Source organism: Homo sapiens, chromosome X (assembly GCF_000001405.40).
Source record: "Homo sapiens chromosome X, GRCh38.p14 Primary Assembly".
Lineage (NCBI taxonomy): Eukaryota > Metazoa > Chordata > Mammalia > Primates > Hominidae > Homo > Homo sapiens.
Window position 1 is genome coordinate 48,402,005 of NC_000023.11, and position 14,571 is coordinate 48,416,575.

At 45.0% G+C, this 14,571-nt stretch overlaps 1 protein-coding gene and 1 pseudogene across 3 annotated transcripts; one reads left to right on the forward strand and one right to left on the reverse strand.

Annotated features, from left to right (window-relative positions):
• Nucleotides 1–77: 77 nt before the first annotated feature.
• SSX4B (SSX family member 4B) lies at nt 78–9,956 on the reverse strand. 3 transcript variants are annotated; one of them, NM_001034832.5, is made up of 8 exons: nt 9,858–9,956; nt 9,300–9,388; nt 8,746–8,860; nt 7,974–8,069; nt 6,061–6,110; nt 3,940–4,075; nt 1,448–1,552; nt 78–665 (listed from the first exon to the last, which is right to left on the reverse strand). In NM_001034832.5, the coding sequence occupies exons 2-7, from the start codon at nt 9,366–9,368 to the stop codon at nt 1,452–1,454; spliced, it is 567 nt and encodes a 188-aa protein (NP_001030004.1). In that variant the 5' UTR covers nt 9,369–9,388; nt 9,858–9,956; the 3' UTR covers nt 78–665; nt 1,448–1,451. The 3 variants fall into 3 exon arrangements, with proteins under 3 accessions (NP_001030004.1, NP_001035702.1, XP_016885102.1); NM_001040612.4 differs by lacking the exon at nt 3,940–4,075; XM_017029613.2 differs by lacking the exons at nt 78–665; nt 9,858–9,956 and adding an exon at nt 9,716–9,812 and having other exon boundaries at nt 1,452–1,552.
• Nucleotides 10,269–14,080, forward strand: LOC791095 (ornithine aminotransferase pseudogene; annotated as a pseudogene).

A 14,571-nucleotide genomic window follows, 5' to 3' on the forward strand; every position in this document is an offset into this window, starting at 1 on the left:
AAGAATCTTTCCTAAAGAAATATTCACACACGTGCACAGAGCTGTGTGCACAATAATGAGAGATGCAAACAACTGGGGAACGTTTGCAAAGGTTTATTAACTGTCAGTGACTGATACAACGGAATCGGATGAGGGGAGTACATGCTGAACAGGAAACAGAGTGAGGGGGGCTTGACCAGGTCGCATGGCAATGGAGAAAAGCAGATGGGAGATGCTTATACTGGTACTTGGTGTGTGTGTGTGCGTGTGTGGTGTGTGTGTAAATGCAGAGGAAAAAATCGGAAATTAAACACTCAGACCTCCCCTCAGTAGTCACATCTGGGGAGAGAGGAGGGTAGTGCTGTTCTATGGAGAGAATACCTGACAATACTTGTTTTCTGAGGTAGGTGCATGGATACACAAGCCGAAATATGCATTAAGCATGTCTTGCTCATCAACGAAAACGCTAATGTCTAACAGAATGGCACACTGCAAGAAAATACAGCGGAAACGCCAACATCGAACTCTTGGCACACTAAGAAAAATGACGCTCAACTTTTCACTGTTGTGAACACTTGCTTTCACTTGCTATGCACCTGATGACGAGGGGTCCGCAGCCATGCCCATGTTCGTGAAAGGTCACCACGTTCTGCTTCTCATCATGGGCATGTGTCATATCCCCGAGGCTGAGGCAAGAAGAGAGAAGGAAAGTAAGTGGCAGTGAGTTCCCACCACGTGACAACTCAATCTCAACTCCTCCTGACCTGCAGACCCTGCACACTCTGATTCTGCCCTACCTCAGGACCTGCACACGCCTTCCACGGTTCCTCGAAGTGAACCATCTGTTCATGCCACAGTGACTTCTTCGCCTGGGTTTTCAATTCCTAGGCTAGAGGAAGGTGTGGCCCGCATATCAGGGCTGACCTGGGGTTTGGGAACCCACAGCATCCTGGGTAGGGAGCAACCTTGGATATACAGGGCAGGGAGTAGAAAGAGTATGGGAAATTGGCCGGGCATGGTGGCTCATGCCTGTAAACCCAGCACTTTGGGAGGCCGAGGCAGGTGGATCACGAGGTCAGGAGTTCAAGTCCAGCCTGACCAACATGGTGAAACCCCGTCTCTACTAAAAATGCAAAAATTACCCTGGTGTGGTGGTGTGCACCTGTAATCCCAGCTACTCAGGAGGCTGAGGCAGGAGAATTGCTTGAACCTGAGAGGCACAAGTTGCAGTGAGCCAAGATCGCGCCACTACACTCCCGCGTGGGCGACAGAGCAAGACTCCCTCTCAAAAAGGAAAAAAAATAGAAAGAAAGAGCATGGGAAATCTCATCATTCAGCCTCAATGCTGTACCCTAGAAAATTATGAGAAGGGAATGATTTGGGGAACAAGTGATAAGATGGGATACCAGTACCATAACAGAATAGTACATCTGCAAGGATGTGGAGGGTGGTCCGAAAGTTCACTTACGGAGTTACTCGTCATCTTCCTCAGGGTCGCTGATCTCTTCATAAACCACCAGCTGCTTTCTCTCACGCAGTCTGTGGGTCCAGGCATGTTTCCCCCTTTTGGGTCCTATGATGGGGAAGAGTTGGAAAATGAGGGTTGGGTAGATTGGAGAGCGTTAGGCTCTGTTTTCTCAAAAGAAGGAGATGCCTCTCCCCTCCCAAGTGCCCCGGACCTTCTTTATCCAGTTTTTCACATTCCCTGGTTTAGAGAGGCTGAGACCTTAGATCCACACCAATACAGGCCAAATGCAAATTAAAATTTTAGCTTCTGGCTCCTTCCGTTGTCAGGTTAAATTCCCAACCTCTTCACTTACGGGAACATTCACCGATACCTCCTTTCATTCAGCATGTATTTGTTAAGGGCACACAGGCATACCTTGTATTATTGTACCTCATTTTTATAGTGCTTCACAGATACTGCAATTTTTTGGGGGGAATTCTCACCAATTTTATACTTTTCCGTTATTAGTATATCTGTTATAGTGATCTGTCATTAGTGAGCTTTGACATTATTATTGCAATTGTTTTGTTGCTCTTTAGTCTTTTAAAATAATTTTTGTTTTTTATGTTAGTGGGTACACAGTAGGTGTATATACTTATGGGGTACGCGAGACGTTTTGATACACGCATGCAATGCGTAATAATCACATCATGGAAAATAGGGTATCCATCCCCTCAAACATTTATCCTTGTGTTACAAACAATTCATTTACACTCTTTTAGTTTTTTTAAATGTACGATTAAGTTATTATTGACTATAATCATCCTGTTGTATGTAATTGTTTTTGGGGTACCATGAACTGCACCCATAGAAGATGACAAACTTAATCGATTAATGTTGTGTGTGTTCTGACTGCTCCACCGATGAGCTCTTCCCCATCTCTCCTCCTTTTCTTGGGCCTCCCTATTTCCTGAGACACAGCAACACTGAAATTAGGACGATTAAGAACCCTACAATGGCCGCTAAGTGTTCAAATGAAAGGAAGAGTCGCATGTCTCTCACTTTAAATCAGAAGCTAGAAATGGCTAAGCTTAGTGAGGAAGCATGCTGAAAGCCAAGATAGGCTGAAAGCTCGGCCTCTTCCACCAAACAGCCAAGCTGTGAATGCAAAGGAAAAGTTCATGAAGGAAATAATAGTACATAATGCAAAGGAAAAGTTCTTGAAGGAAATAATAATACTAATACTCCAGTGAACACACGAATAAGAAAGCAAAACTGCCTTACTGCTCAAATAGAGAAAGTTTGAGTGGTCAGGATAAAACGTGAAACCAGCCACAACATTCCCTTAAGCCAAAGTCTAATTCAGAGCAAGACCAGAACTCTCTTCAAGTCCATGAATGCTGAGAGAGCTGAAGAAGCTGCAGGAGAAACGTGTGAAGCTAGTAGAGGTTGGTTCGTGAGGTTTAAGGAAAGAAGCCGTCTCTATAACATAAAAGTGCAAGGCGAAGCAGCAAACCCTGATGGAGAAGCTGCAGCAAGTTATCCAGAAGATCTGGCTAAGGTCACTGACGAAGGTGGCTACACGAAACAACAGATTTTCAATGTAGATAAAATAGCCTTCTATTGGAAGGAGATGCCATCTAGGACTTTCATAGCTAGAGAGGATTGACTCCAACTTTGAAAGAAGTTCTACTGTGGGTAAAATGCTATCCAATAGCATCACATACTACAGAGAAATCCTTCATGAAAGGGAGAGCTAATTGATGTGGCAAATTTCATTGTTGTCATCTTTTAAGAAACTGCCACAGCCACTCCAATCTTCAGCAACCACCACCTTGATCAGCCAGCAGCCATCAACACCGAGGCAAGACCCTCCACCAGCAAAAAGAGTGTGACTCACTGAAGGCTCAGAAGATTGTTAGCATTTTTTATCGATGAATTATTTTAAAATAAAGGTATGTGCATTTTCAGACTTAATGCTATTGCACACTTAGTAGACTGCAGTATAATGTAAATGTAATGTTTTTATGCACTGCAAGACAAAAAAAAAATGTGTGTGACTCACTTTATTGCAGTGGTCTGGAACCGAACCTGCAATATCTCTGAAGCACACCTGTATTGGGTAACAGGCATTGAGCTGAGTAAGATATGATCCCAGGTTATCACAGATAGAATTGCTTGAGCACCTTTCATGTCATCAGGCCTTCTAGATTACATTTAATGTCTCCAAACAATTTATGAACTATGATTCTTTATTTCCATCTTATGGACTAGGAACCTGGAGCTGAGGAAATTTGGAAGACTTTCCCCACGTCACGTGGTTTTTTTTATATGGATGACAACTCCAGTCTGTGTCTCTGGAAGTCATGTCTAACATCTCATCTGGAGCTAGGCGAGCTCCTCAGCCCAGCCTGGACCCTGGCTTGTCTGGGGTCCATGCCACACACCCAGTCCACGCACCTGAACACAGCCAGGGAAGCCAGAGGGGTTGTTCCCGAATTCTTTCCTCTTACCAGATGTCTTGTTAATCTTCTCCAAGGTACTTGGATTTCCCGGGGGGCACAGCTGTTTCCCATCATTTTGTGGGCCAGATGCCTCTGGCACTTCCTTCAAACCATTTTCTTCCTCTGCTGGCTTCTTGGGCATGATCTTTACAATGTGAAGGTCGCAGATAAACAGTATCAGTGACATTTCTACAGTGCTTTAGAGCTTACAAAGGGTCTTCACGTGCATTAGCTTATTCAATGCTCTCAACAAGACTGGGAGAGTTACACAGGCCTAAATTAGGAGAAACCTGGGAGGTTAGAAGGGAAAGGAATGGCCTAAACGAATGGGCTTTCCAGGGCTAGAATGCTTATCTTCACACTCTTTTAAGACTCACATTCTTGCAAACAGCAAAAATCTCCATTTAATTGAGAGTTTGGTATACAGAAGATTTGGAGAATAGCATTCTAAGAATTCACAAGGTCTAGAAAAGAAAGAGCTTCTATAAAATACAAGGGATCCCATATAAGCTTGTAGACAGCTGCTGGGAGAGTAAATGTAAAAACATAGAGAGGCGATAAAACACTGCTGGGAAAGATGGTGTGGGGAGATGAATACAGGGACAGGAGAGGTAAAGAAATGGTTTGCTGAAATTAAACTAGGCAGCAAAGAAAGCAGTACCAGACATGGCATACTACCCTACCGAGGCGCCAACATTGAATGTGGAATTAAGTGAGGTGGTACCCATACCAACTCTGGTTGCATTGGGATGTGTCACTGACCAACGACCTTAAGCTACTTCTTTTTCCTTTTTTTTTTTTTTTTTTGACACGGAGTCTTGCTCTGTTGCCAGGCTTGAGTGCAGTGGCGCGATCTCAGCTCACTGTAACCTCCATCTCCCAGGTTCAACCATTCTCCTGCCTCAGCCTCCAGAGTAGCTGGGACTACAGGTAGGCTCTAACACGCACCGTTAAGTTTTCTATTTTTAGTAGAGACAAAGTTTCACCATGTTGGGCAGGATGGTCTCCATCTCTTCACCTCGTGATCCACCCACCTCAGCCTCCCAAAGTGCTGGGATTACAGTCGTGAGACACTGCGCCCAGCCCTTAAGCTACTTTTTATTCAGCTTCCTCACTTACGAAATAGTCAACAGTACATGTAAAATAGGCTACAAGAAAGTGCTCTCTGAGCTTGTAAACACTCTTTAAATGTAGTAATAATAAAAAACTAATACTTTTCATGATCCTTCTTTGAATTTGGTCTCCACACTGGCAACCCAACTCCCAGATCCCTTTACCCTCCAAACCAGAGTTGGATCTGCAGTTGTGGGATCACTCATTCAGGGGCCTTCGAGGGATCCCCTGGGCTGGGACGGGGGCTTCCCGGATGCCCCAGGTGCACACAAGGCCATCAAGGAGCTCACAGTAGGGAGGGGCCAACAGTCAAAGCGATTCCTAAGCCATGTGAGTGGCCCCGGTAACAGAGCAGAGGCCAGCTGGTCCTTCCTGTTGCGAGAGTGGGTGTCTCAATGGAAGCACCAGGAGGCCCTATGGGGTGAAGCCCTAGTGAGCAACATCTGAACTTCATAAACAAATGCAAACGTGAATGAGCTTTAAATGGCTTGGAGCTCTGGATTAGACTACCACTGCCACTGTGCCTCAGGAAAATTCTTTAACATCTCTGTACCCCGATAGCCTCATTTTATTATTATGTTGCTGATAACTACGATCTAAAACATGAACTATGATTCTTTACTTCCATTTCATGGACCAGGAGTCTGGATCTCAGAGAACTTAGAAGATTTGCACCAAGTTACATGTCTTTTATATGGGTGACAATTGAAGTGTGTGGCTCGATAGTATTTGGAGATAGTAATAGAAACATCGTCATAGAGGTCTTCTTAAGGATTAAATAAATTAACCCATGTGAACTGCTTAAAATAGTAATCTGGCATCACTATGAAAACCAAAGAAGTATTAAGGATCACAACTGTTAATATTAGCAAGCCGTCGGTGCCACATAAGTTGTTGTGATAGACATGGGGAGAAGGAGGCAGTGAGGGCATGTTTGATATTCTCCCACTCTTATCAGTGTTCGCATCCGTGCAGGGACAAACGTTCTCTGGTCCTTTAGATTTGAGAGACACTCACCTTCGGGAAGATTCTCTGGAGGCTGCCGAAAGTCATCTGAGGACGTTCAACTGAAAGAGAATACATCAGAATTTTTCTTTGTTGGTAAAGATTTCCAAACTCTAGAGAGACTTCTGTCGCATGAGGGCATTCTGCAGCAGAGGTTGTGAGTCCACTCATTGTTGAGGAGTTATTTGAGATTTGCTTCTGAATTATGTTTAGTCATGGTTGGTGCATTTATCTGTGGCATCAATTCAGAATTTTCCATCTCGTGGTTTATCACATGGGTATTAAACCCCATCACAGTCTCATCTTTTTCCATTACATATCTTTTACTTTTTCCCAAATAGTTAAATTGATTGGTTGGGAATCTAAACTGTAATCACTCAAGATGTGCAACAACTAAAAATCACTGTACACTTCAAATGGGTGAATCTTATGGTATGTCAATTAAGCTGTTAACTGTGTGATGAACCATCGATGATTTAGTCCAGTGGCTCTGAAATATTTTCAGTATAAATATTTGGCACTCATTTAATGTCAAAAACTTGGCAGATACTCAAGCACTGGATTTTCAGACCTCTTATAGTGACTGTGGGAGATCGTAGAATCTGGCCTGTTTAGTTGGGAAGTAATAGGTCTATGGGAGACAGTCTGGACATTCTGACCTTGTCTTGTAACTGTGTTCTCAGAGCAGAAGAGCAAGTAAACACATATGTCCCCTTTATATTCCTGAAATGCACAAAGATCTCTACGCGAAACTTGTCTTTTTTTCACCCTATGTTATCTCTGCTCACTGAGAAGTGGGAAAGCTCTCTGTGTGCTGGATGAGGGATCACTCTTTCAAACTCTCTTCCAAGCTCATCACGGAGAATTGGGGTTGTTGGGGAATGTGAGGACTATTTGGTTTTGATAAAATACAGAGAAACAGCGACGCTTATTACATAATGTGTTCATCACCCTCACTCCTAAGATACTTATCCAATACCTACATGCTGTTAATGAAACAAACTCTGGAAGTTTTTGGCGGATCTACAGTTTTAACATTTTCTTTTTTTTTATTTTTTCACTTTTCACATTTTCTTAAATGTCCTTTGATTCATTAACAGTGCTTAGGAAGAACAACATGTCATTTAAAAAAGAAATATTTCAAAAACACAGAAAAGTATGGGGAACAAAACTGAGTACAGTCGGGTCTCAACATTACCCCACAGTTATCTTAGATCTGATTTATTTATTCAGAATATTAGCAATAGTATAAACAGTCCAGGAGTGGTAGCTCACGCCTGTAATCCCAGCATTTTGGGAGGCTGAGGCGAGTGGATCACCTGAGGTCAGGTAGTTTGAGGCCAGACTGGCCAACATGGTGAAACCCCGTCTCTACCAAAAATACAAAAATTACCTGGGTGTGGAGGCGAGCGCCTGTAATCCCAGCTACTCGGGAGGCTGAGGCAGGAGAATCGCTTGAACCTGGGAGGTGCAAGTTGCAGTGAGCTCAGATTTTGCTATTGCACTCCAGGCTGGGTGACAAGAGTGAAATTCTGTCTCAAAAAAAAATAACAATAACAAAAAACACAAAACACACTATCAGCAAGTCACAGCTGAAGCTGTCTGTGCCGCACTCAGCAATCCCTGCCCTCCCTCCCTCCTCCACTTACAGCCAGTCACCTTAATTTGATGGCGTTTTATTCACATTCATGTTTGTATACATTTACCATTTACTTATTATCCATAAAAATATATTTTCTTGTTTTGCATGTTTTAGAATTTTATGTGATTGGCCTCTGTAGTTAACTTTCTGCATGCAATTTTTTTTTTTCACTCAGCCCCGATGTGTATGAGGGAACAAATGCCTGAGGATCTTTCCCAGGTAGCTGAGCTGAAAAGCAACTGGGCTTGAGGAGACCCTTTCCAGCCCCTTCCAGTCTACTCACCCTGATTCCTGTGGTTTCGATCGTTACCAAAATCATTCCCGTGGAAGTCTGCAGCCCGTTTACTACGCATGAAAGGTGGGAGGGTGACCTTGAAACCTAGAAAGGAGCAAAATGTTTATTTCTTAAGAGGCAAGCTTGGGCCTGGCACGGTGGCTCATGTCTGTAGTACCAGCCCTTTGGGAGGCTGAGGCTGGAGGATTGCTTGAGGTGAGGCGCTCAACACTAGCCTGGGCAACATAGAGAGACCCACATATCTACAAAATATAAAATAAAATTAGTTGGGCATAGTGGCACGTGCCTGTAGCCTCAGCTACTCCATAGGCTGGGCAGGAGGATTGCTAGAGCCCAGGAGTTCGAGGCTGCAGTGAGCTATGCTTGCACTACTGCACTCTTCCCTAGGTGACAGAGTGAGACTCTGACTTAAAAAAAAAAAAAGAGAGAGAGAGAGAGAGAGACAAGCCAAGAGAAGGAAGGGAGGGTGTGCGTGTTGGGTGTGGGGGTGCCGGGATGCCACAGAGACAGTTGGGCTCATCAGAAAAGACGCCTATGGGAGAGAAACGTGCAGGATCCAGGTATGAGCTCCACTGTGGCCAGTCCCTGCCCTCAGCCCTGACAGGATACAGAAGAGGAGAACACCCAGAAGCTGCCTTGTGATTTTTCCCTGCACAAAAGGAAAATGTGGGGTACTTTCTGCAGCCTAAGAAGTAGCCAAAACAGGAAAAGGGATGCTCATGTGTCCCCAGACTTGTCTGCTTCTAGAACTTTCTGTTACCTAGTTTAGTCATGACCTCATAGTTTAGCTTCATATACACATAGACGATTTTCTCCGAGGATTTCATCTTTTCCCACTCTTTCTTAGAGAAGTATTTGGCAATATCATCGAAGGCCTGGAAAAAAAAAAAAAAAGGAATTATGGCAGGGACTCAGCTAGGCATGTCTGCCATTCAGCTGGAGCCGCTTCCTGTGTGTGGGATCTGAGAAGTGGGGATGATAGTCTGTCCTGGTTGATGCCATGGCTAACTGACAGAACATGAGGGAACTTCCCTAGCTTCGCCCCTGCCACACAGTAGGGCTTTAATGCTGCTGGCTGGCTCTCTTCCCACCTTCCAGAATGGAGTGGGAGTCACCAAATGAAGTGCAAGGTCAGAGACTTGTCTCCAGGGATGCTAGGTGATGACAGAGCGAGGGTGGGAGGCTCCCAAGGGTCCAAATCTCCCCCGAGACCCTGCTCCTTGTCCCTAGTACCTCTGTCCTCCCCTCCTCAGAAACCTGGTCACCCCACACTGTCCCCTGGGCCACTACTCTGCCCCCTCCAGGTCACCTCACCTTTCGTAACTTCTCTGATATTTGAGCATCATCCCTGGGTCTCCTTGCAAAGGCGTCGTCTCCGTTCATGGCACTGGGAGCAGTCTCACCTGCGAGAGAAACAGCCTGAGTCTTTCCAGCCTCAGGACCTTTGGTGCTCTGGGCGGGGTGGTGCACGCCTGTAGTCCCGGGGCCGAGGCGAGAGGATCGCTTGAGCCCAGGAGTTTTTTTTTTTTTTTTTTTTTGAGACAGGGTCTCGCTCTGTTGCCCAGGCTGTGTTGCAGTGGCGCGATCGTGGCTCACTGCAACCTCCGCCTCCCGGGTTCAAGCGATCCACCACCTGTGGGCCTCCAAAGTGCTGGGATTACAAGCGTGAGCCACCACGCCCAGCCCAGATTTTTTAAGTTACTACAGAGCTCCTAGGAAAAATCCCATACCTGAAAAAGTTAGAAACTGACAGGAAGAATTTGAGATGGCGACCTGCCTCACATAAATACATTATTAAAATTAGATAAGAAGTGCACCACGGCGGAGGGGAGGGGTAGGAAGAATGGAAAGAGAAAATCAGCGCATGCTTACCCTGATTGTGGAAGAATCAAAAGGGCAAATCGGCGTGTGCGTACTCTGAATTTAAAGTAGCCAATCCAAGGGGACGCTTTCGGCGGGAAAATCAGAGTCTCCCCTCCCCCCCGCCTTGGGAAGGTTCTGTCCCTAGAGCCTGGACTGACAGACGCCACATCAGCTTCGCTTGTTCCGCCTACTGTTCTGACTTCTAATTGGCCAGATGGAGTTCACTAACTGCCCTGATTGGTCCATCATCCTTGGGCAGTGACATTGCAGAATGTTGTCGCCTCCTCCAGCCACACTTTGTGCGACAAAGTGGGTGGTCCTCAGGCGCCATCAGGAGATTTTGAACTCTCTGAAGACCGTCCCTGGATCTTGGGTTAAACATCTGGATTCTAGTCTGAACCGTGGGAAGAAAAAATAGTCGATCTGTGATTTTTCTATTTGAAAGACACAATGTTTTCCAAACTAGCACATTTGCGGAGGTTTGCTGTACTTAGTCGTGGAGTTCATTCTTCAGTGGCTTCTACATCTGTTGGAACTAAAAAAACAGTCCAAGGCCCTCCAACCTCTTTTATTCTTATTTTTTTTTCTTTTTTTTTTTTTTTTGTAGTTTTCTTTTTTTTTTCTTTTATTATTATACTTTAAGTTTTAGGGTACATGTGCACATTGTGCAGGTTAGTTACATATGTATACATGTGCCACGCTGGTGCGCTGCACCCACTAACTCGTCATCTAGCATTGGGTATATCTCCCAATGCTATCCCTCCCCCCTCCCCCCACCCCACAACAGTCCCCAGAGTGTGATGTTCCCCTTCCTGTGTCCATGTGATCTCATTGTTCAATTCCCACCTATGAGTGAGAATATGCGGTGTTTGGTTTTTTGTTCTTGCGATAGTTTACTGAGAATGATGATTTCCAATTTCATCCATGTCCCTACAAAGGACATGAACTCATCAATTTTTATGGCTGCATAGTATTCCATGGTGTATATGTGCCACATTTTCTTAATCCAGTCTATCATTGTTGGACATTTGGGTTGGTTCCAAGTCTTTGCTATTGTGAATAGTGCCGCATTTTTGGAAGGGAATGTAAGTGTGGTGCGCACAATTACCATCCTTTACCTGTAGCCCTGGAGAGAGGAAAATGTATTTACTTATGGGATGTGATTGTGGTATTGGTTACATCCGCCTTGGTCAATCCTCCCATCTCATTCTCGGGACTACAGGCATGCACCACCCTGCCCAGGTTTGTTTTTGTTATTATTATTATTATTTTTTAGTTGAAACTGGGTTTCTCTATGTAGGCCAGGCTGGCCTCAACCTCCAGGGCTCAAGGGATCCTCCCACCTCCTCAGCCTGGGGACCACAGGCATGCACCACCCTGCCCACGGTATTTTTTTTGTTTTTCAGTAGAAACCGGGTTTTGCTATGTTGCACAGACTGGCCTCAACCTCCTGGGCTCAAGCAATGCTTCCACCTCAGCCTCGGGACCATAGGCGTGTGCCATTCTGCCCTGATAATTTTTTTTAGGAGAGACAGGCTTTCGCTATGTTGACCAGGCTGGTATCGACCTTCTGGGCTCAAGCAATCCTCCCACCTCAGCCTGGGAACTACAGGGGTGAGCCACCCCGCCCATGCTATTTTTGGTTGTTCTTCTTATTAGTAGAAATGGGGTTTCACTATGTTGGCCAGGCTGGCCTTGACCTCCTGGGCTCAAGCAATCCTCCTGCCTCGGCCTCGGGACCACTGGCACACACCACCCAGCCCCCACTAATATCTTTAATTTTTCTAGTAGAGACAGTTTCGCTATGTTGTCCAGGCTGGTCTCTACCTCCTGGGTTCAAGTGATCCTCCTGCCTCGGCCTCGGGACTGCAGGCCTGCACCACCCTGCCTTTTGCTATGTTTCCCAGGCTGGTCTCAACCTCCTGGGTTCACTCAATGATTTGAACCCGGGAAGGGGAGGTTGCATTGAGCTGAGATCCCACCACTGCACTCCAGCCTGGGTGACAGAGAAAAACTGTCGAAAAGAAAAGGAAGGGAAGGGAGAAGGGATGGGAGAAGGGAAGGGAGAAGGGAAGGGAAAGGAGAAGGGAAGGGAAGGGAAGGGAAGGGAAGGGAAGGGAAAGGAGAAGGGAAGGGAAGGGAAGGGAAGGGAAGGGAAGGGAAAGGAAGGGAAGGGAAGGGAAGGGAAGGGAAGGGAGAAGGGAAGCGAAAGGAGAAGGAAAAGGAAGGGAAGGGAGAACGGAAGGGAAGAAGGAAGGGAAGAAAGGGAAGGGAAGATGGGAAGGGAAGACAGGAAGGGAAGATGGGAAGGGAAGAAGGGAAGAGAAGAAGGAAGGGAAGGAAAGGGAAGAAGGAAGGGAAGGGAAGAAGGGAGGGAGGGAGGAAGGAAGGAAGGAAAGAAGGAAGGAAGGAAGGAAGGAAGGAAAGAAAGAAAGAAAGAAAGAAAGAAAGAAAGAAAGAAAGAAAGAAAGAAAGAAAGAAAAGAACCAGCTGAGTCTCCGTAAGAACAGTAAGCTTTGTGGTATTTTAACTTACCCTCGTCCCATCTCGTGCTCCCAGCTTGGTTCTGTTTATTGTTGATGAAATACAGACAGGAGTGGCCAGAACTGGTAGATGGCTGGCTGTTGATCATGAAAATGTCAGACCTGATATAGTCCTCCTTGGAAAGGCCCTTTCTGGGGGCTGATACTCTGTGTCTGCGGTGCTGTGGAATGATAACATAATGCTGACCATTAAGCCAGGGGAACGTGGGTCCACATACGGTGGCAATCCACTAGGCTGCCAAGTGGCCATCGCAGCCCTTGAAGTTTTAGAAGAAGAAAACCTTGCTGAAAATGCAGAAACAATGGGTATTCTCCTGAGAAATGAACCCATGAAGCTACCTTCTGATGTTGTAACTGTTGTAAGAAGAAAATAATTATTTTATTTATGTATTTATTTGCTTAAGTCACAGGTTCACTCTGGTTGCCCAGGCTGGATTGCAATGGTGCGATCTTGGCTCACTGCAACCTCTGCCTCCTGGGTTCAAGTGATTCTCCTGCCTCAGCCTCCCGAGTAGCTGGGATTACAGGCACGCACCACTATGCCCAGCTAACTTTTGTATTTTTAGTAGAGACGGGGTTTCACCACGTTGGCCAGGCCGGTCTCGAACTGCTGACCTCAGGTGATCCACCCACCTTGGCCCCCCAAAGTGTTGGGATTACAGGTGTGAGCCACCACACCCGGTGTGGAAAAGAATTATTAAATGCTATTGTTATTAAAGAAACCAAAGATTGTGCTGCTTGGAAAGTGTGTGTCTAAGACTTCGAGATAATGGACTTCTGGCCAAGCCAACCCATGGCGACATCATCAGGTTTCACCTCTGCTGGTGGTCAAGGAGGATGAGATTCCAGGGTCAATTGTTATCATTAACAAGACCATCTTGTCGTTCTGAGTGTAGCAGCCGTTTTCAGTGGTCCCTGGGAGCCGGCTGGAGACAGGTGGTCCTGTAAAAGCTCTGCTCTAAATGTGGGCACATTCCACTCCCATGTGTCTTCAAAACCTTTTCGTGGAATATATGTTTTTTGCAGTTGATACATACTAGAACAACGTTTATGAACCTGCCCGTTGCTTTGTAACGTAAGTAAGAGAATTTAATGGCATCTATATTCAATGAATGTTTTGATGTGCATGTGTACTTTCTAAGGTAAAATGCATCTATGTGTATTGACAGCCTTTAAATCACATCCTTCAGTATAATTTATATATGTTTTTATAATTTCCATGCTAGTATAAATGTTTTGTATTTGAAAATGTTATCTCTGGGGTATTACATAAATGGCTTCACCTTATAAAGTCAAATCATTGTTATCATTGAATTTTAGGAAGGATGAATGGTTAAGCATATATAAAATACTAATATTAAGTAAACTTCATGTTGGCTAACACCAGGATGTATTCTATGGATGTCATTATTTTCAATTAAGAATTAGTGTTTAACATTCCTGAATTGCTTTGAGTGCTTGATTAAAATTTGTAGAAAAATGTTTGTTTATTTTTTATTTTTATTTTTATTTTTTTATTTATTTTTAGCAGAGACGGGGTTTCACCGTGGTCTCGATCTCCTGGCCTCGTGATCCACCCGCCTCGGGCTCCCAAAGTGCTGGGATTACAGGCATGAGCCACCACTGCGCCTGGCCAAAGAATGTTTATTTTTAATAATTTTTTAAATTTTAAATAAAGCTTATATTTCAGAAAAAAATAAGATACAGATCATGGCCAGGTGCGGTGGTTCACGCCTGTAATCCCAGCACTTTGGGAGCCCGAGGTGGGTGGATCACTTCAGGTCAGGAGTTTGAGACCAGCCTGGCTAACAAGGAGAAACCCCGTCTCTACTAAAAATACAAAACTTACCAGGCATGGTGGCACGCACCTGTAATCCCAGCTACATGGGAGGCAGAGACAGGAGAATAGCTTGAACCAGGAAGACAGAGGTTGCAGTGAGCTGAGATCGTGTCACTGCACTCCAGCCTAGGTGACAGAGTGAAAATCCCTCTCGGGAAAAAAAAAAAAAAAAAGAAAGAAAGAAAAAAAAAAGGTACAGGACATTTCCATCACCAAAGTGCTATCCCTTGTGCTACTCATTTTTAGTAATACCCACTCTCCTCCCGTCCACCATCCCTAACCCCTGGCAACTACTAATCTTTTTCATTTCTACAATTTTGTCTTTTCTACAATGCTGTAC